General features: G+C 42.2%; 1 protein-coding gene across 27 annotated transcripts in view, besides 1 other annotated feature; it reads left to right on the top strand.

The window, feature by feature from the left end:
* ENOX1 (ecto-NOX disulfide-thiol exchanger 1) overlaps positions 9,431-26,098 on the top strand; it is a 573,843-nt gene continuing 557,175 nt past the window's right edge. For 26 of the 27 annotated variants that reach the window (XR_007063686.1, NM_001347965.2, NM_001347963.2 and 23 more), the window contains exon 1: positions 9,431-9,751. The gene's annotated coding sequence lies outside the window, so the exon portion shown is untranslated. Of the gene's footprint in view, positions 9,752-10,197; positions 10,776-26,098 lie in introns of those variants that run through there. The other variant, NR_145132.2, reaches the window with a different exon arrangement.
* Positions 12,256-12,550: a silencer, noted in NCBI's record as "tiled region #7351; HepG2 Repressive non-DNase unmatched - State 24:Quies". NCBI's record gives its function as "represses a minimal TATA promoter and a strong SV40 promoter by Sharpr-MPRA in HepG2 cells {active_cell/tissue: HepG2}" and the evidence as "EXISTENCE:reporter gene assay evidence [ECO:0000049][PMID:27701403]".

The following is a 26,098-nucleotide window of genomic DNA, read 5'->3' as shown; positions in this document are numbered from 1 at the left end:
AGTACTTTATTCATTTAGAATGCAGCTTAGATATGGGAAGCTAGTAAAGAGAGAATTCATAATGAAACATAGATGTTCCAGAGTCTATGTAATAGGTTCTCTTTTGAGCCGATAAGAATCTACAGTCAGTCACACTGAGAGAAACAAGAAGAGCCAGCTGACATCTTGAAGAAGCACAGAGGAACCACACAGGTGACCTCCGTGGTCTGTTTGGTAGAGAAGGAAGGTAAACTCTACATACACCTGGTATCCCTTGGGGGTCAGTGACAGTGGTTATATCCAAAATCACTTAATAAGGTAGGTATGTCAATGTTAGGGAAGAAGGGAATGCTTCACATTGTCTCATTTCATCTTCATAAAAAGTCCTAAGAGATAGGTATTAAATAATCTCTATTTTCAGATGAGGATATCAAGGTTATGAAGTTTACCCAAGTTCACTTCTGATAGACCCATGATTCAAATCCAGCTCAATCTGATGGTAAATCTCATAATACTTTTACTTTTCCATGCTTGCCTATCTTTCCATTAAATATTAATATTTATTCTGATGATTCTGATTTGTGAATATTAAGTTAAAGGAACAACATACTTTATTTTAGTAGAACTGCCACCAAAGTAGTTACATTTAAAAATGTTTTGATACTTATTTTCATTTTTAATCCTTCTGGTCAAATATGGTTGTATAATATTCAAGACTGGTTTCTGATGATGCAGTCAAAGGAAATAAAAGTGGAGAGCCTCCATCTCTTTGGACTTTATCTAAGCCAGGTATCACATATGAGGCGCATTCTGCGTCCACTCAACTCTCACAAACTTGGTTCTGGACCCCTGGCCTCATCCTCTCAGTTCCAGAGTTTCTGTTTCTGCTCTCACCTCATTTTTCAGATTTAATGCTATAAACTTGACATCTCTGAATAAAGACTTCAGTACCTCCTCCTGCCCAAGGTCACTTTTCAGCCCAAGGTGGACCTATGCAAATACATCTACAGCACCTAGCACACAAAAGAATCAAGATAAGTGCCCCTGTGCAATTAGTTCACCTTTCCAGTGCTAAAATTCTCTAATTTCTTAAACATGATGACTCTCTCTTCACTGATTAATGCTAGAGACAATATACCCATTCTTTGATTCTTCTTTTGCAATTTAGCACTTACCAAAACTTTTCAGGGTATATTGTTATACCATGTATAGAGTTTCCAAGATACAGCTTGTCTTATGAATGTCCCATTTTATTATCTCATTGTGTTCTGAGAAAAGACTTGCACATGAATTGTACTTAGAACTTTCATAATTTACAATATAGTGTGTATATTCTACAGAGAACTCCTATAGATAATTAATCCCACCTCGTGTTCTCTCCCTCCCCTTCCTTCCTTTCTTCTTCCACCAGTTCTCTAGCTTTCATTTTAAGAGTGGCACTAGAATTCTGTCTCAGATTTGCAGAATGGGATGGGCTGGGATTGAAGCTCTTTTACTTTGGGAACCCATATCCCTCTATACAACTAGCAAATTGGCAAAATTATAAACACTGTTAGACTTTTTATTAATAGTGATACCTTCCTGGGTAAACTAGTGTGCATACTGAACTGCAGAAGTAGGAAATTCTATTGGAATTTTAGCTATCATTTGCATTAATTGTTAAGGAATGTTTATAGATTCTTCAAAGCAAAATAAAACAAACTTTCCAAAATTTGCCTGCAGCAATGGACATAAAACATGAATTCAAATAATTCACCACCTCTGGGCCAAGCTTCTGCAGAGGCAGTATGTAGATGGTCACTCCAATGAACACTCTGGTTACTTATTGAAATCAAGAATCTTTTCTGCTCTGAGGGAATGCAGTACCAAATCCAAGGTTAGCACTGGACCTCATTTTGGGGGTAGAGGTTAAGTAATGCAAAGCACCCACAGAATGGCCAGAGGCCAAGGGCAGGGCTTGTGACTCCAGAACACATCAGCATCAGCACAAGGTGAGATTAAGTTTTTAAAGGGCCATTAAAAGTATTAATTATTAGAAGTGTTAAAAGTGGGGAAATATAAAAAGAAGTTTCAATGATGACCAGTGAAAATCCTGTTTTAAAGGACTTGCTGAGGCCGGGCGCGGTGGCTCACGCCTGTAATCCCAGCACTTTGGGAGGCGGAGGCGGGTGGATCATGAGGTCAGGAGATCGAGACCATCCTGGCTAACAAGGTGAAACCCCGTCTCTACTAAAAATACAAAAAATTAGCCGGGCGCGGTGGCGGGCGCCTGTAGTCCCAGCTACTCGGGAGGCTGAGGCAGGAGAGTGGCGTGAACCCGGGAAGCGGAGCTTGCAGTGAGCCGAGATTGCGCCACTGCAGTCCGCAGTCCGGCCTGGGCGACAGAGCGAGACTCCGTCTCAAAAAAAAAAAAAAAAAAAAAAGGACTTGCTGAGCAAAGAGCCTATCTTGGAAAGAAGGTGTAGGAAAGGAAAAGAAACACATTTGAGCCTTTTTGTGAAAGTGTTTTAACTGTTTGTTTCTAAAATGGTAACATTAAAAATGGCTGAATCTTGACTTGGATGACTTTTTTTTTTTTTTTTTTTTGAGATAGAGTCTTGCTGTCCCCCAGGCTGAAGTGTAATGGCTTGATCTTGGCTCACTGCAACCTCTGCCTCTCGGGTTCAAGCGATTCTCCTGCCTCAGCCTCCCCAGTAGCTGGGATTACAGGCACATGCCACCATGCCCAGCTAATTTTTTGTATTTTTCGTAGAGACAGGGGTTTCACCATGTTGGTCAGGCTGTTCTCGAACTCCTGACCTCAAGTGATCCGCCTGCCTCGGCCTCCCAAAGTGCTGGGATTACAGACGTGAGCCACCGTGCCTGGCCAACCTGAATGACTTTTAAGTAGAACAAATATATGCAAAGAAAATGTCTGGAAGGGTATACACCAAAATAGTAATCGTACTTGGTCCCTGAGAGGCAATACTACTTACTGCATTTTTTTTTTTTTTTTTGGAAACAGAGTTTCGCTGTGTTGCTTAGGCTGGAGTGCAGTGGCACGATCTCAGCTCATTGCAACCTCCGCCTCCCAGGTGCAAGCGATTCTCCTGCCCCAGCCTCCCAGGTAGCTGAGATTGCAGGCGCCCACCATCACACCTGGCTAATTTTTTATGTTTTTAGTAGAGACAGGGTTTTGCCATATTGCCCACGCTGGTCTCGAACTCCTGAGCTCAGGCAATCCACTCTCCATAGCCTCCCAAAGTGCTAGGATTACAGGCGTGAGCCACCGCGCCTGGCCAATCTTTTTCTTTATACATTTTTGTATTGCCTATTTTTTCTCCGTAAGCACACACACTACTTTTACAATTGGGATGTGGTGGGGAAGAGAGGACAGTGAACTATTTTTGTTTAAAAGAGAGACATTTTCACAGTTGGTATTAATCTATAAAATGAATGTTCGCATAGTTAAATTAGCAGGGCAAAGCACCATTGGGGAGGCAGAATATGTGTGACAGAAACAAAACAGAGACTAATTAAAAACAAATGAACACAAAGCTTGGGTTTTGTAACAGCAGCAGAATTTATAGAATTACAGCACCTCTAGAATTATGGAATCCACAATTTCCTGCATGTGTCAGTTTCTGCCAACTTTTGGTTGTCTGTGGTTTTCTTAAAATATCCTTGGAAGGGACTCCCAGGAAATCAGCTCAGTTCAACATTATAATAAAGATTTAAAATTTCTACAGGAGCTTCCTATTCATGACTGTGTTCCAATTTTCTGCCACACACTTTTGATTTAGATCCAAGGTCTACAAAGATTTACTGAATTCCTACAACACAACAAAGGGACTCTTTCTCATGTTACTTAATGTAACTTAATGTTACTTGATGTAAGCTTCTTAAGAAACTGATGAGGTAGGTGTTATTATCCACATTTCCCAGACGGGGGCAAGTGAAGCTCGGAAAGTGTGGTGCACAATCTCACACAGCAAGTTGTTGCCTGGGCTGGGATTTGAACTCAGATCTTATGATTCAGTATCCTGTGTTATTTTAATGCTGTGCTAAGACCACCTCTTGAAAAATCAAAAGATAGCACTAACAGTCCTAGCTTCCCCACATGAAGCCTCTGGGGCCCATCGGGAGGCAGGTTATATAAAGCATTCAATACATGGATGGTTGGGCTTCAAACAGCTCTAATTAAGTAAATGGCTTTATGTCAATTCACTCTATAAGAGCTTTTTAACTCTTCATAATTGTGTCAGGAATTGAGTGAAGAAGTTGTGTTTTTAAAAACTACATTAAAAATAATTCTGTGTTAATAAGTGGAAAGAAATTGAGAAAGTGAAAATTTTAAAAATTGTAAGGAGAGTAATAATAAAATGTTAAAATTATACAAGAAGAGACTTCTGGGTTTTTGTAGACATAGAAATTTCAAAATACTGTTCATGGGTTGCCCTATAAATTCTTGGATGGGTTAAATATAAGCTCTAGCATATTCTAACTTATTCCAGTCTGCCCAGTGATCCCAGGGAAAGGTAATCCACAGCTGCCATTGCCCACATGGTCTATCTCTCCTTGTCAACTTCTTCATATCCTCAATCTAAAATTCATGCTACAGCAATAGACTAGCTTTTTACATTATATATGGTGTGATCATCTAAATGATTGCTACTAGGGAATATGAATATGAAAATATGCATATATACATTGGCCACTGATAATCAATTATTACCCAAGTGGTTTATTTATTTAACAAATAGCTTTATTAAGTCCTACTGGTAATTCAAATTGAAGTTTGTTGCACCTGGTCAAGTGATAAATTACGCTTATGTTCACTTTTTTTGTCCTCAAGAATAATGATTACTACACTATAGGCTCCCTAAAGGAATAGATAGATCGTATTTTATACTTTATTGGTAACAAACACAGCTTGAAGAACAGAACTGATTATGAAGTAGGTACTCAATAAATACTTGTTCAGTTTACTGATTTGCTTATGCATCTTCTTGGTGTTGACAATCAAATAAATTATTAGATTAAAAATAGAAGTGAGATTAGTAAATCTACCAATTCTTTTCCCTTTAGCCATAAAATGTCATGGTGCAATTAATCTATATTAGGCAGTAGCTCTTAATGTGAGCTTCAGAGGAAGTTCCTTTAACTCCCTGAAATTTTATTTAAACATTTTTTATACATTAATAGGTTCATTTTCCTGAAGAAAGGATCCATAGCTTTCTTCAGTTTCTTGGAAATACACAGCTCCATAAACTGTTAGAACCACTGACACCAAGTATATCTACCTGCACCCCAAATGTCAGCAATGATGACTAAGAAAGAAAACCGGTCTTGTTTTGCTTAGTATAAACTATAACATTTTTTTCTCTGATTTTTTTTACCTTCCTAAAGATGTCTGATCTCCAGTCAGAATTAAGTTTTCCTAAATAGTATGTGGAATAAGGCAATGTTTAAAGACATGGATACAAATAGGATGACTTGAGGCTGCTTCTTGTTCCTGTACTATACTCTGGACTGTGTTGGTACTTTCTTTCCAGGTGCAGGTCAAGGTGTTTTTTTTTTTTTATCATTTAAAACTCTAATGGACTAAGTGATCTGGGACCTAATTATAAGGGAAATGACCTGTATCCTTATGTGTGCTCACAGCCACTAAAATCAACAGCATTTCAGCTAACGGTCCCTGCCTTCTCACTTCAGAGGATTTGGGGCAATGGGCTCCTAGAATGAGGAGTTGACTTTGGAATTCACGGTACATCTCACAGTCTAAATGCATCAGTCTTTAAAGGTAGAAAGCCTTTTTTTTTTTTTTTTTTTTTTTTTTTTTTTTTTTTTTTTTTTTTTTTAGTTTAGACTGACAAAACAGTTGTGATCAAATAAGTTTAGAGTGTTTCTCCACAGGCCCCACACCTTCACCATCCTGTGTTTTTAAGTTAATGATTGACTAGTTTACTGCACTGCTGCAAACTGAAAAAAGCAGTTATGTTAAGGAACATTCCCTTTAGGAAGAAAAATAGAACTTTTACAAATATGCTATTGATTTTAAATCCGGCTGATAATAACAAATAAAAATGAACCTCTCAGCTGTACATTTTATTATTACCTAGTACTTAAGTAGCAGAAGGAGCTATGGGGATGATAGCATATAACCCTATTTGCTCCTCCAAACTTTTATGTTTAAGTTGGTCAGAAACCTATATATCTATGTTGTTATTCTTTCCTTCTATTACCTTTTAACATACATTAACTTATTTAAGTTAACATACATTATTTTTAAGTTAACATACATTAAGCTTGTGATATGCCTACATTCTTAGGTGCTGGCTTCTTATATTTGTTTTTACGAAGACAAGACTGTCCCCTTTGGTGGTCATCAGAGAAGTTACAGCTTTATTAACATTCCTCCCACCCACCAAGTAAGACAAGCACTTGGGAAGCTGTTGAAACTAGGGATTTCAACCTTCTGAAGGTTCACTGAAAATCACCTCGCAAAAAGCAGATTAATAGGAGAAAAGACATACAAAACTTATTTTCATGTGCATAATCCAAGGGAATTGCAGGAGAATGATTGCCCAATAACCCAGTGGGGTACACAGATGCTCATATACCCTTCTTCATAGGGGAAGAATAGAAAGGGAAATGTGGATGATTTTAAGGGGGATAGTAAAGAATTTTTAGTGGAATTCAATGAGCTTGGTGAACATAAAATGGCCTGGGATAAAGTCTGTTGGGCCCGCAGAGGAGTGTGACAAAAGTATGTCCAGTTGTGTTGACAGGCTTCAATCTTTCTTCCTACGACGTGAGTTAGATTAATAAAAACTCAGGGAAGGCAAGTGCGTTCTTCTTTGGCAGATCTGGTTTCTAGGCAGATGAAAGACCTTCAGAGAACAATTTCATCCTGTGCTTTGGGTGAGACAGACGACTGAGAGACAGGAGGCAGAGAGAGGGTCAGAGAGACTTTGAGGCTGCTTCTTCAGTCCAGCATGTCAAAGTGCCATATTTTCCGGTATTAGTTTCTGAGCCCAACAAAACCCTAAAAGCAACTTTCTAAGGAAAATGAAGCTTTAAAATTGTTTTGGAAAATTCTGACTCATACCCATTCTATAGGTTGGCTGTCAAGGGTCCATTTTCGGTATCAGAGTTTTTCTGCTTCTTTTGCAAGTTTTAGAGCTTCCTTTCAAGTGAGAAATTTAAGTAAGCTTTCAACCTAATAAAAAAGCTCCAATATCACAACAAATGTCTTCTAAGAAGATTGTCAATTGAGTGAAGGTAGATAAATCAGTTAAAGGGACCCCCACTAAAGAACACACGGTACCCAAATAAATCCATTTTAATTTTCACTTTATTTCAGTTATATTTCACAGCTGTGGTATCATGAGTGGAGAGAGAAGCAGCTCATAGGCGGGCCTGAGTTCAAAGGAATTGAAATTTAGCATGAAATGCAAAATTGAAGACTTCTGCTTCTAAGACGATGATTGTAGAAATACCGAGGTCGAAGGATGTGGACTTGGTGCTACACCAGACAGCAGAATTAGCAGTCTGGGGTGACCCTGCATGTATTGGTCAGTGTCCATGAACACTACTCTTTACAGGAGAAAAATGCGTACCTGATAAGCTATTAGAAATGTGTATTTCTGGCCTGGAGCGGTGGCTCATGCCTGTAATCCCAGCACTTTGGGAGGCCGAGGCAGGCGGATCACTTGAGGTCAGGAGTTGGAGACCAGTCTGGAAAACATGGTGAAACTGTGTCTCTACTAAAAACTAAAAACTAAAAAAAAAAAAAAAAAAAAAAAAAAAAAAAAATTAGCCGAGCGTGGTGGCCGGCGCCTGTAATCCTAGCTACTAGGAGGCTGAGGCAGGAGAATTCGCTTGAACCCGGGAGGCAGAGGTTGCAGTGAGCCGAGATCGCGCCACTGCACTCCAGCCTGGGTGACAGAGCGAGGTTCCGTCTCAAAAAACAAAAAACAAAAGTGTATTTCTCTTAAAACTGTTTTCCCCATCCTTCTGCTCTAGAAGGGACAGTATAAACTGCTGGTGAACACTGACTTTCACATTTTGAGAGGTTAGGTTCTGAGCTTTGGCCCCCTCACACCCAGGGCATCCCACTGGGGTCCCTGCAGAGTGCTTCTACATGCATCCTTTGTTAAGGGTGCACAATGGATAAGTATTATTTTCTTTCTTTGCATTGGGGTTCTGACCGCCAGGGGGAAAAATAGCCACACACAAGGAAATGGCATAAGTTAAAATCAGGCAAGCCTAGTGGGGTGGTAATGACTTTCCCAGCATCCAAGTCTTTGCCTTCAGGTTACGTGAAGCTAGAAAACAATGTCATTCATTCAACATTTACAGGGAACTCACAAAGTACAGAGTACTATGCTAAGCACTGGAAGGCATGCAAAAGTGTGCAAAACACAATCCCTGCATTGAGGATTCCTGCCAGAAAGGGTATTTCAAGTATTACCCAGACCTTACGACCCTTGAAGAAATGCTTGTGTGAATAAAATCCCACTCAGAATTTAAAATAAGCAAGGAAAAGTATACTACTAAGACAATATATCTGTTAAGAGGCAGAGAATGTAAATGTGCTTTAAACATTTATTTCTGAAGTATTACAATGTAGTTGGGATGGAGGATCGGGGGATGTGGGTGTGTGTGGGGAGGTGGTGGGAGCGGTTCTTGGACGAGCCTGACTCTAAGGAGGCACTGCTTAGATGCCTGCACAGCTAAGTTGAATCCTAACAAAGAGGAGGCCGGCATTCTTACCTGGGAAGTGGGTAACTTTGAGAAAAAGTAGCCTCCAAGGAGGAAAAAAAGGCAACATGTCACCTGGGGTTAGGATCCCCTCACCCTTACCAACCTGAATGCTGACCGCACCCCGGCCGAGCCACTCTGGGCCGCACACCCCGCATCATCTGCCCAGGCCACGCGGCCCAATTCCACCGTCTACCCCAAGCCCACAATCCTGTAACACGCCCGCTCCAGCCTGGAGTCGGCCACGTGCGCCCGGGTTCTTCTCTTGGCCCTTCAGCGGGCCCGGCCCCTCCAAGGTCGCCGTAGCAACCGTGCGGTCCCTCTCTCGGTTCCCCCGCTCCCAGTAGAGCAGTCCCGACCGCGGCGGCGGTGGCGGGAGCGAGCGGCCTCGGCCCCTCCCGAGAGGGGGCAGCGCGACCGTGGGCTGCGGGCGCCGCCTCTGCTGCATCGGTGGCTGCGCGCTCCGCTCGGCTCTGCCGGGCTGGGATCCGGAGCCCTAGCGCGCCTCGCTGACTTCCCCTCCTCCTCTGCTGCCGCCCCGTGGGCAGCTTCTCCAAGCGAGACACGCGTTCGATCCTCCTTCCCCGCGTTTACGGATTTCCGGGGTCGTAGAATTTTGCCTCGGTCCCTACGAGCATCTCTCGGCCTCTCTCCCCCTCCCCTCGCGACTCCCCCACCCCGTGGGCGCGCGCGCACCCATACACTCACACTCGCAGGCGCGCGTGCGCACGCCCGCGCGCCTCCAGCCGCGGAGTCTCCAGCGCCCCTCAGCAGATCCCCGCTCTCCCGGGCGCCGCTACTCACACAGGCTTCCAGCCGCCACGGGGCGTCCTCTGTCTGCTGCAGCGGCGGCGGCAGCAGAGGGAACGGCGACTGCAGCCCGGCCGCGTCTCCCAGCTCCGTGCCCGGGACAGAGTCCGGGAGAAGCAAAGGAGGAGGAGGACGCCGAGGCTAGGAGGAGCCGCGCCGCGCCCGGCGCCCCACTCCGCGCAGCGGGTTGCCTCCGCTCCCCATACGGCGGCCCCAGGTAAGCAGCTCCGGGGCCCGCAGCCTCCCTGGGGCGTCCGGGCTCCGAGCCGGGGTCCTCTGGTCTCACCCCCGCCACGGCACCTGGATCTAGACTGAGAGGGGAGTGGGCGAGGGGGGAGGGGAGTGGAGCTAGAGGTGAGGCTGGTGAGGAGGGGTGCGTGGACGCGTGGGGGCTTCGGTGCAGCCCCCACGCCCTTCCCCGCCGTGCCCCGTCTCAAGCTCCCTCACTTTTACGCGCCCGGGGGTGCCCAGCGCCCCAGACAGCTGTTCCCCGCTCTCCCCTCCGCCCGCCAGCCAGTGTCAGCTCCGGGCTCCGCGCCCGCCGCGCGCCAGTCACCTCCCCTGCACCTTGGACAGCGCACCCCGCACCCGTCTCCCCCTGCGGGCGTCGCCCCCGGGACCCGTTCCTGCCCACACAGTGTTCCCGCTGCCCTCTTCTTTCAGGTTTTCACCCTCCCGCTCTGCATCCCTTTTCCTCCAGCCTTGGCGGACTCCGCTCTGCTGCGGGCCGGAAACTTTCCTCCCCGCCTAGTCTGCGCTGGGTACTGTTGTTATTCGTGACTGTCCCCTCTCGCGGGGAGCTCGGACACCTTGGACAGGTCTTCGTCGGCGGGAGCGCGCCCTGCCTGGCCCAACGCGAGGTAAAGGAGGCACTGGGGCAGCCGGACTCGGCCGCTGCCAGGGTGCAGAGCCCGCGCCTCGGCCGCTGGACGCCGGCCGCCTCCCCGCCTCTCCGGACCCGACACGTGCGAGCCTCCCACGGACGCGGCCCCTCCCAGACCACCCCACGTCCTCCCCCTGCACGGCCACAGCCACCCCATAGGTTGGACACCCGGGGCTCGCGGGTCCTGATTGGCTGAAGGCGTAACCCCGCCCTCTTTCGGAAGGGGGGTGGTTCTGGAGTGTTGTGGTTGTCATCCCGCGGCGAGCACATGGGGAAAGTGGGGTCGACAGGTGGGCAAGCCCAGCTCTGTGGAATCTCTGCGTCTCACTGTATAGCCACTGAGCCACGCTTCTTCACCCAGATACACTCCTGCTTCTCTCCTTTTCTCTCCCTCAATCTTTCACTGCTGTAACATTACATGAAAAAAACTGGCTTTGTAATCCCAATTTTGTTAAGATTGCATTTGTTTGGTGGTAGCAATTTTTAAAAGCAGACCCAGGAGAATGCAGGAAATACGTGCGTATGGAAAGGTTCCTGGCCAACTGGGCTGCAGATTTGAGTCTGGTAGTTTGGAGAAAGCAATGAAGCGTGCTTAAGGGATCTGAAGAGGGTGGAGAAAGTGGGAAGGAAATTGATTCCTGGAGGAGAGACGCAGGTGAGCGAGCTTGGAAAGCTGAGCTGGTGGGCCCGCTCGAGAGGTGGGTGCGTGCTGTTGGAGACGGCTCTGTCAAGCAAAGTGGTAATATTGGCTGGTACTTAGTTTATGGTTAACACACTCTGCTTTTGTTTTACTAGCGTTGCCACTTTGATAGAGACTTTATATTAATAATGTCTATTCATGTAATGGATATTGCTCATTCCAGTTTCTTGTAATATACAGATTTGAAAGTGATAATGAGTTTGAAAAAGTGAAAGCCCTCTTGGAGGAGATGCGTTAAACAGTTAAAGTGCTTTCGGAATATTGTGAGGGAAGACGGATGAGCATTGCATAAAATGCATATTGTTCTGGCATTATTTAGAGCCTTTGAAGAAATATATGTGTACGTATAAATGATACTGATTTCTCTTCATTTCAAAGCGTGATTGCCTCTAGCATTTTCCAGCTTTAATTCCTTCAGGCTGTTTTGATGTTGTGTCTGTACATCTAAGAATATTGTAATTCTTATCTTTAGAAGCCTTGTCAATGTGAAACAAACAGCAACTGATGCAAGTTAATGTTGACAACTTTATATTGAGTACACTGTGTGTTATTTTATTTGTAAGCTAGTGAAATATGCAAGAGTAACATAGCATGACTGTTGTTCCCCAGGGACCCATATCAAAACAAAGTGGGGAATCACATGAGGCTATTCCATGGAGAACAATTCAATTATTTTTAAGATGAATAAAATTTAAGATTCTTGGTTGTAAACAGCAACACTCTTTGAATTATCTTTGTACACATTGGTAGCATATGATAGTAAATCAACATATTAAACGTATTACATGATTCTAAAGTAGATGGTAAAGGCTTTCCATTATTATCATTTTTATATAAGTAGACAGGATTGCTTTTCTGACTGGAGGACCTCCTATTCAAGAAACAGGATTTGATATATGTGACAAATTGGAAATTATTGCTATTGTTAAGAAAATAATTCTGTGTTTTTATTTCTCTAGTTCATACCTTGATTTCCCTAAGGGATTTAGTTTCAAGTTGTGGGCCTATTAAATTTAGATGGGTTTGTATGTAGGAGAATGTATATAATCACATATGCATACATGCAAAATATTTGTATGTCTATCAGCACACAGTTGTATATTTATACACGTAATTTTAGGGTACATTCAGTGTATTTATTCGTATATATGTTATTGTCATCCTTAGAATTTTTTCTCATTTCTTTTTGTCCAAAAGGTGGCCCTGTTTTAAACTGTAGAAAGCATTATCACCAGTAGAATTGGCCAATAGATCATGGAAACAGACAATAGTATTTTGTTGCCTGGCAACCACCTACTGTGAATGAAAAACAAAGCAGTGACAGCTGCTTCCACATCCTGATACTCACACTGTAGCTCAGGCATTGCAACCCTCCAAATGAGACAGATCCACTAAGTTTCATTTGAGTAAGGTGAAGCTGTTTCTTTTTTTTTGGATGTTTTTTAAGGAATATTAAATGTTTTATTATAATAAGAATTATTGTGGGATGAAATGAAGCATCTAACTTCAATTGCCCTCTTAAGCCTAGTATAAACTGAAAAATGCAAGATTGGGAGGATTGTTTAGACCCTTCTCATTCTTCCCTTTTCACTCATTAAACATCGTAAGCAAATTTTCTGCTGCTGCCAGGTGCTCTTAGGATATTACAAAAAGCTGAGTTTTCTATAATACCTAAATAGATGGCAGGATTTTCCTGCTAGGAATGAAGTAGAGACTGAGGCTCTAGCCTGACCCTTTAATATTAAGGAACACTGAGGCATAGTGAGATTATGTGACACAACCCTGGTGACAGACCCAGTCTCAGGATGTCTTCCCCTGGGTCACACTTGACCATTTCCCCCTCATTTCTCTCCTTGATTATTCTTTCTTTGTTTTTTATTTACATAACATTTGCAACCAAGATTTTTATCTTAATAAAAACCTTATAATGTAATTTCTAATATTGTACTTAGAAAATACATTAGCATTTGAGAGTAAAAAATCAACATTGACATGCTAGGCTAGATTGTGGTCTTAGATGCATTGTGTATAATATATTGTGCCTTCAATCTCTAAAAGTCCTATGATTCCTGCCTTTCCCTAAACTGGGAAGCCCAGTCCCTTGCTTTGGTAGTTGTCTATAGCTTTGGGCAGTCTTTAATAATCTCTTATTCTGTGTGAATTTTCAACAGGAATGAGACTCAAGATTGTATTGGTCAGTTTGTATACCTGTACATTATAGCTAATTAATCAATCACTCATTACAATCTCCTATCCTACAAAGCAATGGACATACTGTTGGTGTAGTGATCTGGGCTCTTTAAGGTTTGTGGGGTGCCTGTGTCCCTGCATAATATTTGTTTCAGTCTTTTATCAAAGCCATCTTGCCAAAGGTGTTACCTAATGCCTGTTAGTGGAAGATGAGTCATCTATCTCTGAGAGAGGTGATAGTGCAGATTGTTTCTTAATGCTAAAATGATAATGAATGGATTATAGGATGGAAAACTTGGATCATATATGCATTATTAGTCATTTCTTCTAAACTTAGGAAATATATATTGTGTGTAATACATTTTGAGGTTCCGTGTGCTATTTTAAATAATCTGTATTCCATTGTTTATTATTTATGACAAAAGTAAGCATTTAACTTTAATATAACTCCTTAAGTAGAAAACCTTGACATTGACTGATTGGAGAAACAATGTAGTGACAGTATTAAGTACCATTAAAGAGGCCTTTTCACCAGAAAAGACGTACTTTAGTAGATTTGTAGAGGGGAATAAATGGATTTACAGCATGTTAAACCTAGTTTTAGAAGCCTGCTATTAACTTATTCTAGCTAGAAGGATTTTCCAAAAGAATAATAATTTGGCATATTTCAAGTGAACTTCACTTTAAAAAAAATCTATTTTCCACTGTCTGGATATAATTTGTCTAGGAGAAGTACTTGTTTCAGATCCACTAGGATTAATCTGAATTTAAAGGTTATGTTTCTTAAAATTTTCTGAACTATTTCTGCATCCACTTGCATAGTGTGATGTTAAATATTCTTTAGTTCATACATTTAATTTAACCAACTGGAATCTTGAGATTTAATTAACTTCCCTCTCCTATTTTCATGTGCAAGATAATTTGTGTGTATGTGCAAACACACACAATACTTACATTTTTTTCTTTTTGTCACTTTTCATTCCTATGATAGAATATCAGAGGGCCTGATTTGTGTTTCTTTCATACACTAAAGAGCTTTAAACAAGAGATATTTATGTTTTCAATTTTCTTATGTCAGCTTCTGCTATTATAACCTGTAAACTCTTACCCACCCAAATGGGATGATTGCTAAAAATAAGCAAACAAATAAATATATAAGCAGCATTCTGTTTGCCACCCTCCAGGATAGCCAGGAAGGCATATTTTCTCACTCTTAGGTACACATATACTTCCACATACACATAGAGTTTAAGGTCCTACAGACTCTTATTTAAATAGTGGACAAGGCCGGGCGCGGTGGCTCACGCCTGTAATCCCAGCACTTTGAGAGGTCGAGGCGGGCAGTTCACCTGATGTCGGGAGTTCAAGACCAGCCTGACCAACATGGAGAAACCCCGTCTCTACAAAAATACAAAATTAGCCGGGATGGTGGTGCATGCCTGTAATCCCAGCTACTCGGGGGGCTGAGGCAGGAGAATCGCTTGAACCCGGGAGGCAGAGGTTGCAGTGAGCCAAGATTGCGCCATTGCACTCCAGCCTGGGCAACAAGGGCGAAACTCCATCTAAAAAAAAAAAATAGTGGACAAAAGTAGTATTTGATTGGGAGAACTGTGTATGGTAGTTTTTCAAGTAAAAATAATGTATTCAGATTTTTAGAAATGTAGCAGCATAGGAAGAATTCATTTGAATTACTCCCTCTGGAAAATTTTCATATTTACACTGTCAACATAACCCCCAGCACTGAGAACAGTGCCCGGTACCTACGACATATAGCCTGGCATATGGCAGACACTAAGTATATATTTTGTGGAATTAATGCATCATCTCTCCCTCTTTGTGTAATGCTGCAAGTATTTCAAGCTTCATTTGTGTGGATAGTAAAAGTTTAGAGAATGGAGAAGAAATTACTGTAATTTCTAATTGTTTCTGGCACTGCATATTTTAAGCCAAAATAGCCAACTTAGCCAATGATATTTTGGAATATATTTGTCAGTATAGAAAGTAATGCCAGGGCTATTTATTTTCCACAAATACAGCCATCCTAAGTATGGAATAGCCCTTTAATAGCCCACAGCAGCATAACAAAGGTTATGGCAGCAAGTCCAAAGGAATACTTTGTTTAGTTGGTGCTGGAGGGTAAAGTTTGCTGGCCCCAATGTAATTATCCAGACTGGAATGTGACCAAGGTGCTGTGTTAACATCTCTAACAGTGGGAGAAAAGCCACAGGTGAGGTCTGTAATGACTTCAGTAGCCAAAGCCTTTGCTCTGGTCTCATTTGCAAGAGAGTACCTTGAGCATCTCAAAAGCCCCAGAAGCCATTGTGGATGTAAGGGATAGAGCCCAGAGTTACCATCTGGATCCCAAGTACCACATTTCTAGTCACTGGAAGAAGTCATAATTCCAGGTGTTTGTGCCATTGAAATAAAACTTTCTTCTTTATCCTGTTGAATCTTTGTGAGGGAGGAGGTAGTGTCCCTGAAGACAACCCTGACAGAATCACAGGATAGGTAGTCTTTCATACCTCCAGTTCCTTTTACAGTGAGTGCCCTTTACCTTTCTACCACTGCCCAGGTGTTTATCTCCTTTGTAGGGTTTTATTCACATCTGTGTATCAGCACATCTTTGTCAAAGTGTAAAAGCTGATAAAAGGTTAAAGTTCTTTTCTGGAGGGATTCCTGAGTGTCTTGCATATATTAGGTGCTCAATATGTATTTGCTTAGTTTTAATAGTGGAATTGTACCTACTATTTTAATACATAGGGAAGATTTTTTTTTTTTGTCCAGGGAACCTTTCAATACCACTTAAATAATATCATACTATGTATTTCTTTGGGGATTATTTCTTTAATAAACATTTGTTGGGCATTTACCATATAAATGGTACTGTATTTGGCTTTGGGGATCATACAGATTTTTTTTTTTTCTTTTTTTTTTTGAGACAGAGTCTCGCTCTGTCGCCCAGGCTGGAGTGCAGTGGCACCATCTCGGCTCACTGCAAGCTCTGCCTCCCGGGTTCACGCCATTCTCCTGCCTCAGTCTCCCGAGTAGCTGGGACTACAGGTGCTCGCCACCATGCCCAGCTAATTTTTTGTATTTGCTTTTTAGTAGAGATGGGGTTTCACTGTGTTGGCCAGGATGGTCTCGATCTCCTGACTTCGTGATCTGCCCGCCTTGGCCTCCCAAAATGCTGGGATTACAGGTGTGAGCCACCACGCCCGGCCTCATGCAGATTCCTAAGGCACAGTTGCTGCTCATGGAAGAGAACATGCTGCTTGCAGGGAAGTGCACAGATTCAATGTGTTCTGGCAAGTGGACTGTGCATGGAGGTTGGTATGGAGAGCAGGGCAGAAGACACAGACCATGGAGGACCTGGTAGAGTCCACCAAAGATTTTGGACTTAATAATGTTGTCAGTGTTTTTCAAATCTGTCTGTTCATAGGAATCCCATGATGTGTTTGTCACAATACTGATTTCCAGATCCCACCCAAGACCCACTGAATGGACATCTTCAGGGATGTGGCCTGGTGCAGCAGACATAGTCAGTTTGCTACTCATGCCCTGACACTCCCTGCTTCAGGATGCAATTCTGCAAGTACCTCCTATTCCCCACCTGGGGTTTCTCTCCCGTGTGTGGGGAAGCTTAGTAGTGCAGCACAGTTAATGGCCTCAGGAATAGACCTCAGCCAGTGACATGAGAGAGTTGGGTAACATGCTAGCATCCTCAGTTACCCACAGTCATAGCCAGCTAGACAACCTGTGCTTTAAAAGTGGCTGTCTCCCTTCTCCATTCCTCTACCAGTACTTCCTAGGATCCCCTCCCCAAATAAATAACTTGTACTTAAATTCTGTCACAAGGTTGGCTTCTTCAACGTAAGATATGGAAGAATCTGCTTTTTTTTTTTTTTTTTTTTTAAATAACGAGGCAAGTTTGGGAGACCTGGCCTCAGGTGATAGAGACCTACTGATGAGGGCATTGCTCCTTAGATTTGCAGCTTAGAAAGATGATTCTGGCAGATGTGTGGGAAATGGATTGATGGAGGAGGAGTTGGGGACATGGAGACCAGCTAGGAAGTGGCACTGCTCAGACAATCATGAGTACCTAAGCTAAGGTATAACTGTGGGGATGGAGGTACGGAAAGGATTTGAGATGGATTCTCTAAAACAGTCAGCATGACATAGAGGCCTGTGCCATGTGGTCACTTACCTGCCATTCCCCAGATGAGTGTTAGCCCTCCACCTCGTCCTGTTGCCCTGCCCTGCCCTGCCCATTGGACTTGGCACCCCTGAAAGGGCTGGGAATCCTCTGTCTTGCCTATAATCTATAATCTTAGGCTTTTTACAGTCAAGTAGTACATGTCTGAGCATAAATAAAAGAAGGAAAGATAAATTGAAGAGTATGAATAATTCACTATCAGATCATTAAAGGAAGAAAGTTATATTTTACGGGAAGGATTTGTGGAGTTGTAGAGAAGGAGAGCTGAAGAGAGATCTGTGGTGCATCATTTTGTGATGAATAGTGATTTTTCCCCCCTTGCTCTTGGCGAAGAGGTGATTTTCATCCACCATCAGTTTCTGGAAGACCTAGTATGACTCTGTGCATTTGTATCTGTTGTTTTCCCTGATGCTTTGATAGCCTATATTTTAGCTAAGTGAATGAGTGGTAGCTGGGGGTGGGGTTGCTTTTTTTCCTCTTGTTCTGTCATAATGCCAAGCTTTTGACTGCAATTTTTCCTGCCAGTTCTTAGGCCACTAGCTCCCAAAGGGGATAAAGGGGTAAAGAGAGTGAGAGAAAGAAAACATAAATCTGTAAAGAGAGCTGTTTTGAATTGAATGCTTAATTATGAAATGAAGAGGTTGAAGCTTGTTAGAAGATATGAAATAAGATAAGGCAGGCTTCTAATTGTCCCATGTAGGAATACTAATATTCTGGCTCTCTCTATAGTTAGAAATGCAAAGGCTGAATAATCAAACAATAGTAACCCAACATCATCCCCATATTTTTGCAAAAGTAGTTTTGAGTCAATGACAAAGAAAAGACCAAATTATAAGAAGTGGTGGAGTGGGTCAGCAAAGAGCTTACTGGGCTTTGCTTATCAGCGAGAACAAAAGAGTGCTGACAGTAGAAATACTGAGCATGTGAGTGTAAGGGGCCCCGGATACACAGTAGAAAAGAAGAAGCCTTGTTAATTGTGGATATTATGTACATACTTATGCTATTTTTTATTAAACATTTTATTTCGGGATAATTGTAGATTCACATGCAATTTTGAGAAATAATACAGACTTTGGGAGGCCAAGGGGGTGGATCACTTGAGGTCAGGAGTTCGAGACCAGCCAGACCAACGTGGTGAAACCCCGTCTCTACTAAAAATACAAAAAAAAAAAATTAGCCAGGCATAGTGGTGGGCGCCTGTAATCCCAGCTACCTGGGGGGCTGAGGCAAGAGAATCACTTGAACCCGGGAGGTGGAGGTTGCAGTGAGTCGAGATCATGCCATTGCACTCCAGCCTGGGCAACAGAGTGAGACTCCGTCTCAGAAAAAAAAAAAAAAGAAATAATACAGAGAGATCCTGTGATATCTTTGCACAAAGATAACATCTTATAAAACTATAGTGTACAGTTTTATTAGCAGGATATTGATATTGATACAATCCATCAATCTTATTCAGATTTCCTCAGTTTTACTTGTACAACTATGTGTGTGTACGTGTGTGCGCACATATGTATTTACTTTTATGGACTATTATATTTCTCATTTTAAAAGTCAGCCTTTTTTAGTGTAGAATTTTTCTTAAGAATTTTTTTCACGTGTTTGGACTAGTCCTGACTTAATTGTAACTGAAGAAAGCGTAACAGAGAATAAATTCCCCAACCCCTTCCAATGTGGATTCTGCATAGCAGCATCAGGGGCCGCTTGAATGTGGCAGGAAGGTCAGTCAGCTATTCCAGAAGGTAGAACTTCTAGTTTATTTATCCCCTGGTGACCATTGTATGGCAACAAGCGAACCTTTTTAAAGTATGCCTATTGTAAAAGGAGCTTCTTATTCAAGCTCACTGGAACTCCTCTTCCTTTCACCAGCATTTCTATCCTCCTCTCTGGTGTTGGGTACAGCATTCCTTGCTCTTCCTTCCTCCTCTCTGTATATGAAGGGCTCACCCCTGCAGGCTGCTTTCTCAGATTTCTGAGTCAGCTGGCTTGCTGTGTTTTACCCTTGGGAGGCACTGGTGGGAGACCGCAGGGAAAAGGGTGATGCAGGATTTTTTTTTTTTTTCCCTAGCTGTGGGTAGCATCCCTGGCAATGGGAATTCACGTCTGTAGCACAGCTTGTGCTCAACAGACCTTCTCTGGTTCTAGCTGCTTACTAGTGACTTTGTCCCACAGATTCCAGCAATACTACTTCCTGCTATAGTCCAGGGGAGGTAGTGCTTCCTGTTCATGCTAATCTCTAGATTACCTCACTATCTGGTGGTAGGCTGTCTGCACCTCCATCACCTGAGTAGTCAATTCTCTGCATTTAATTTCCTCAGTGGAAAATCTTGAAGGTATTTCTGTTTTCCTAATTAGACATTCCCCAGTTCCTCAAAGCATGGGAATGTTATAAATCTGGTGAGATTTTTTGTCTTCTGACATTGTAGCTTCTTCCACTCCAAAAAAATCTTACTAGTTCCAGGTGGGGTAGACGTTACCTGCATTTATAACTTCACCCCTGCCACTAGGAATCTCTGTCCCTTTGCTGATTCTTCATTCCCTCCTCGACTGTGGTTTCCAAGCACCTCTTTTTCATACATGTTTGTCAACTTGGCAATCTCCCTCCAATGTCTTTGTTATTCTGTCCTTCAAACCCTCATTTGCTAACACTCCCTATCTTATTTTCTACCAGCAGTTCTTACTCATCTCTTATGTATTATACCATTAACATACTAACATATTGGTCTTATGATTCACTCCTAAATGTATGTTGGCTTTCAGTTCATACCTCTGCTCCATAGGGTTTGGTTTGGCTGGCACTTTACTGCATGAAAATACTTTTTATAGTATTATCAGCCTCCTCCACCTTATTGCCTCCGGAAGTATATGTGGTTATATCATAAAAACAATGTCAAGAACATTAATAAGAATGCTTGGTTAAGAAAAAACAGGCCTCAAGTAGCATCTTCAAACAAGGCAAATTAAGAAGGTCTGTCAATGGAGCAAAGCTGGGGGCCACCATAGTGGTCACACACACTGCCTTAAGGAAGGAGGCACAAAAGAGCAACTTGAATTCCTTAGGGGTGGCAGTGGGGCATTGTGGTGACTCTTCAGGCTCCCTGTCTCTGTTGGAAAGAGGTTTTATTGGTTGCAACCGTGTAGGCCCCCCTAGCAGCTTCATTCTTTCTCCGGGGGCCCCAAGTCAAGCAGAGAGAGCAGGAAGCTGGAGCCTCAATTAAGAACAAGCTTTAGCGCTATCTCTAAGATGTTCAAAAGGGCACATCAACCACCCAATCGTGGGCACTCCATCCTCAGATGCCAGGAGCAGTTTAGGCATTGTAGCACACATGGGAATAATCTTAAAATTAGTAGCCATGCAGATCACCACCAGGTCTACTGACCTGAGGCCTGGGAAAACTCAAAGCTTTAGCAGAAGAAAACTCAAGTACTGAAAAATCACCTTTGGGCTAGGTGAGGTGACTCACACCTGTAATTCCAGCACTTGGTGAGACCAAGGTGGGAGGGTCACTTGAGACTAAGAGTTCGAGAGCAGCCTGGGCAACAAAGTGAGACCCTGTCTCTACAAAAAATAAAAATATTAGGGATGCACACCTGTAGTCATAAGCTACTCAGGAGGCTGAGGTGGGAGGATTGCTTGAACACAGAGGAGTTTGAGATTATAGTGTGCTATGATCATGCCATTATACTCCAGCCTGGGTGAAAGATCATGGGAGGCTTTGTCTCTAAAAAAAGAAAAAAGGTTGGGCACGGTGGCTCAGGCCTGTAATCCTAGCACTTTGGGAGGCCGAGGTTGGCGGATCACTTGAGGTCAGGAGTTTAAGACAAGCCTGGCCAACATAGTGAAACCCCGTCTCTACTAAAAATACAAAAATTAGCTGGGCATGATGGCAGGCACCTGTAGTCCCAGGTACTTTGGAGGCTGAACAGGAGATTGCTTGAACCTGTGGAGCAGAGGTTGCAGGGAGCCGAGATCACGCCATTGCACTCCAGTCTGGGTGCCAAGAGCGAAACTCCATCTCAAAAAAAAAGAAAAAAGAAAAGAAAGATTGCTTGTGGCTTGTGGCATGGATGGTAAATGTGTTCAGGTTTTGATGTTTTGTTGCCCTTGCAGTGAGAGCAGGGCTGGGGGATGTGTTGTGGGCTGGTGCACACAGTTATGAATAGGTGGATCTTTTTGGAACCTGTCTGTAAGGCCATCCCTTGCCTCTGCTCTCCATAATGATCAGAAGTGGTGAGTGCTGGGCGGGAGGATTGTGGATTAGGTGGCTCTGAGTGAACTGACAATGGAAAAGAAATCAGCTTATTTTAAATGGGCATAAGCTTTGAAGGCAAGTAATTAAGACACACTTCAGCCTCATGGACAAATTAGGGTTCTAGTTAATACAAGTGCAAGATTGGAAAAAATCAATCACGTGCACACCTATAATCACTGAAGAGCAGTTTGTTTAGTAACAAAACACCAATTATGCCTGCCTTTATGTGAGTTTCTTCTCCATTTTCCGTTTTCTTTATCTCTCAGAACCGACTAAGTCCAGAGCCCTTATTTTCTGGTAGTACTCTATACACCCTTTTTCAAGAAAGTCATGCCTATGTGAAAGTAGCTAACAGTTTCTCCTGACATCCTTCTGAATTCTAGTCTTTGATCCATTTCAGTTGTATCTTTCTGCAGAGATGTACACAATGTTTCTTTCCTTATTACTTAGTAATGTGCTGTGGCATGAAGAGAGAGTTTTTAAGTGGAATTTTCTTGGGCATTAGAGACTTGATTCTATCAAGCATCACAAAGTAGGTGCTGTAGAAGTTAGAGAAGCTGTTTTCTGTGCTTGGTGGATGTACTCTATATTGAGCTGATTCTAAGAAGTTTCTGAGTTTCCTCATCTAGTTATTATGAATTTTAGAATAACTAACATTTTATTTTTCATATCATATTGCGATTATAGGCCTTTAATCATTTTGTAGAGATTTAATGTTTTTGGAGAAAAGCATGCTAGATATTCATTGTGCGTGCCTAATGAATAGGTATTTGTTGTGCCAAGTTCACATGAGATGCTGGGAACATAGTGGTGAACAAAATAAGCAGCATTCCTGTCTTGGGAGTCTACAGTTTACTGGAAAATACATCAAACAGATAAACAGAACAGTAATTATGTAATTGGATCTTATGATAAGTACTTTGAAAAAACTGGGTTTCTCTGAAAGGGCATAATGAGGGTGAAGTGACAGAGGAGGCTTATATGGAAGAGTAATTTATAAATTCATACCTGAAGGGTGGTTGGGGTTATCCAGGTGAGAGTCCCAAGTATGAAGTCCAGATGTGTGAAAGCTTGGCTTTTAGAAACCAGAAGGAGGCCAGTGTGGCTGGAGAGTATAGAGAGAAAGGGTGAACAGTGGCAGGAACAAGGCTGCTGAGGTGGAGGTTAGGACCCAATTATGCTGGACCTAGTAAACCATGCTGGGGACTTTGGATTTTCTCCTATGTGCAGTGGAGAGCCACTGAAGTGTTTTTGCTTTTGCTTTTGTCTGCCATGTAAAAAAAATGAGGTGAAATTCACATGACACAAAATGAACCATTTTAAAGTGAACAATTCAGTGGCATTTAGTATATTCACAATATTGTGCAGCCACCAAAAGGAAATCCTATACTCCTTAAGCAGTCATTGAAGGGTTTTAAGGGAAGTGATGTGGTCTGATTTGTAATACATAAAACCCTTCTGGCAGGTTTCTGGAGGAGAGATTGGAGAGGGCAAGACTAGAAACAAGAGAACTAATTTGGAAATTATTTTCAAGTGCAGGAATAGATGGTGGTGGGTTCCTGGACAAGGGACAAGAATAGTGACCATAAATGTAGAGAAGAGTAGAATCATCCAGGATAGAGTCATAGGATCAGGTTTGATTATCTGTAAGGGGGACAAAATCCTCTTGTAATGATCTACATCATTGTTTCACAAAGGGTGATCCATACACTATTCAGATCTATCTAGGTTGTTTTTAAAATTATAGCTAGCAGCCCATCTCAAGCTACTGATGCAGAACGCTGAAGATAGTCCATAAAGGATTCTTGTTGGAACTGAAGTTTGAGAACCACTCAGTATTGTCTTCTCTTCTCTTTCCTTCTTTTTTTTTTTTTTTTTTTTTTAAAGACAGAGTCTTGCTCTGTCGCCCAGGCTGGGGTGCGGTAGCACAGTCTCAGCTCACTGCAACCTCTGCCTTCTGGGTTCATGTGATTCTCTTGCCTCAGCCTCCCGAGTAGCTGGGATTACAGGTGTGTACCACCACGCCAAGCTAATTCTTTGTATTTTAGTAGAGACAGGGTTTCACCATGTTGGCCAGGCTGGTCTCAAACTCCTGACCTCAGGTGATCCACCTGCCTTGGCCTCCCAAAGTGCTGGGATCTTCTTTCCCATTTTTATGCTCTGTAGGATTGAAGGCTGCCAACAGTCCATCTAGGTGGGAGGGAATTACAATCAGACACAGAATAGACAAATGGATAACCTAGTGCATGCTTGTAATTTTGAGTGGGAGGAATGCTTTTTGGGGAAGCATCTTTAACTTGATCCCAAAGCCAACATGTAGTATAGACAATTTGATACTTGGTGTTTATTTTAGATTATCTTCTTTGAGTACCGTGACTTTCTCAGAACAAAATAGTGTCTGACTGTGAATAATGCCAGTATCATGAAATACCATGTAAGTAGTGTAGTAATTTATTGTAAAAGCAACAAATAACTGCTAGAAATTAACTTTGGAACTGATGGAAATTATCCTACTATCTTTGCAGTTACTTTATAAGATTCCTTTTACTTTAAAGAGATATCACACCAATGCTGTAATCCCAGCACTTTGGGAGGCCCAGGCGGGCGGATCATGAGGTCAGGAGATTGAGACCATCCTGGCTAACACGGTGAAACCCCATCTCTACTAAAAATACAAAAAAAAAAAAAAAAAAAAAAAATTAGCCGGGCGTGGTGGCAGACGCGCCTGTATTCCCAGCTACTCGGGAGGCTGAGGTAGGAGAATGGCGTGAACCCGGAAGGTGGAGCTTGCAGTGAGCCAAGATGGCGCCACTGCACTCCAACCTGGGCGACAGAGCGAGACTCCATCTCAAAGAAAAAAAAAAGAGATATCACACCAATGAACTGATTTTAGAAGCCAGAGTTTTTGAGAACTTTTTGGGAAGATTCTACAAACTCTGGTAAAAAATCACCAGTAAACAAATAGAGATTTTTATCTTTGACTTCTGTTTGCCTTTGGTAGATATTTCTAAACCCACTGTTACCTCTTAGACCTGTCACTTCCAGCCTGAATCTACAGCACTCAGATGTCTCTAACCCATGTTTTTCAAAAGTCTTTCAAAGAATCTCTCTTCACAAAATGTATATAATGTACTTAATTAATTAAGTTATAATTGTAGAACTGAAAGAGGTCACAGAGAACATCTAGTCTTCTAATTTCCTTGAAATTATTACCTTTGGAGAGCCTGGAGTGACTAGAATAAGGCTCCTTTACTGATGGGTGGGTTAGGTCCTCGGGGGTTTATCCCACACAAAAAAAGATGTGGATACCTAGCGACAGTCAGGGAGGTACCATCTGTCTAATATGATAGTGCTGAGAACCCCTTTGCAGCTTTTACGTGGCCTCAAAGGTTCCTGCTCTTTCTGGAGGCAGCTGTGTCATTGCTCTGTCTATGCCTCTGCCCTCCCGCCTTGGATTCTCTCTTTTTGGGATAAGAAGTGTTCAGCTTCTGTAGGATGTTTCATTTTGATTAATGTTATTTCCACTCTTCTGGAAAGACACTTAGGTACCGCTGGCTGTGTTTCTTTTTCAGCATGTATAAATTCAGATCTGAAAGGGGTTTCATTGCTTCATCATGGAATTTTATAATGAAATAATAATTTGAGTGCCTGGCTAGTTTTCTTGATTTTTTTTTTCTCCTGGAACACAAGTTTGGAGAGGGATATGAAGCAAAGCCATCCATTTATTTCACACTAGAGACAGACAGAATCAGTAAATAGCTAGTTTTTAGAAGCTTATTTTTCTCCCACAAAAATGCTGTTGTTGCACCCGGGTAAACACTGTAGAAGAATACAAAAAGAAAGTAAAATTACTCAGAATTCCTACTAGAGATAACCATTGTTGATATATCCAGGCATATCTCTTGAGTCTGTGTGTGTGTGTGTGTGTGTGTGTGTGTGTGTGTGTACACATACGTATACTATATGCAGATAAAGTAAATAAATGAGATTTTTGTTGTATGTACTATTATATAATCCATTTTTTCATAATAACTCATAATAACATGTAATGGGCCTCTCTCCATGTCAATAAATAAAATTTTTAATGACTTGAATACTTTTATTGGATGCCTTTCATTGTAATACATTTCCCAGGGCAAACTAGCATAAATAGAACATACTGAAAAATCCAGTGGGTAGGGGATTCAGGCATGATTTAATCAGGATATAGGATTTCTTTCTTTATAATTGTCTATTTCTTACTCTTTTTCATGCTCCTAATGGTAGCAAAATTTCTGCATCTCTAGGAGCACATTAACTTTCCAGAGAAAAAGAGCTTCTCTTCTTTT

The sequence above is a fragment of the Homo sapiens genome, chromosome 13, assembly GCF_000001405.40.
Source record: "Homo sapiens chromosome 13, GRCh38.p14 Primary Assembly".
Taxonomy (NCBI): Eukaryota; Metazoa; Chordata; class Mammalia; order Primates; family Hominidae; genus Homo; species Homo sapiens.
This window is presented reverse-complemented; position numbering and strand designations above follow the sequence as displayed.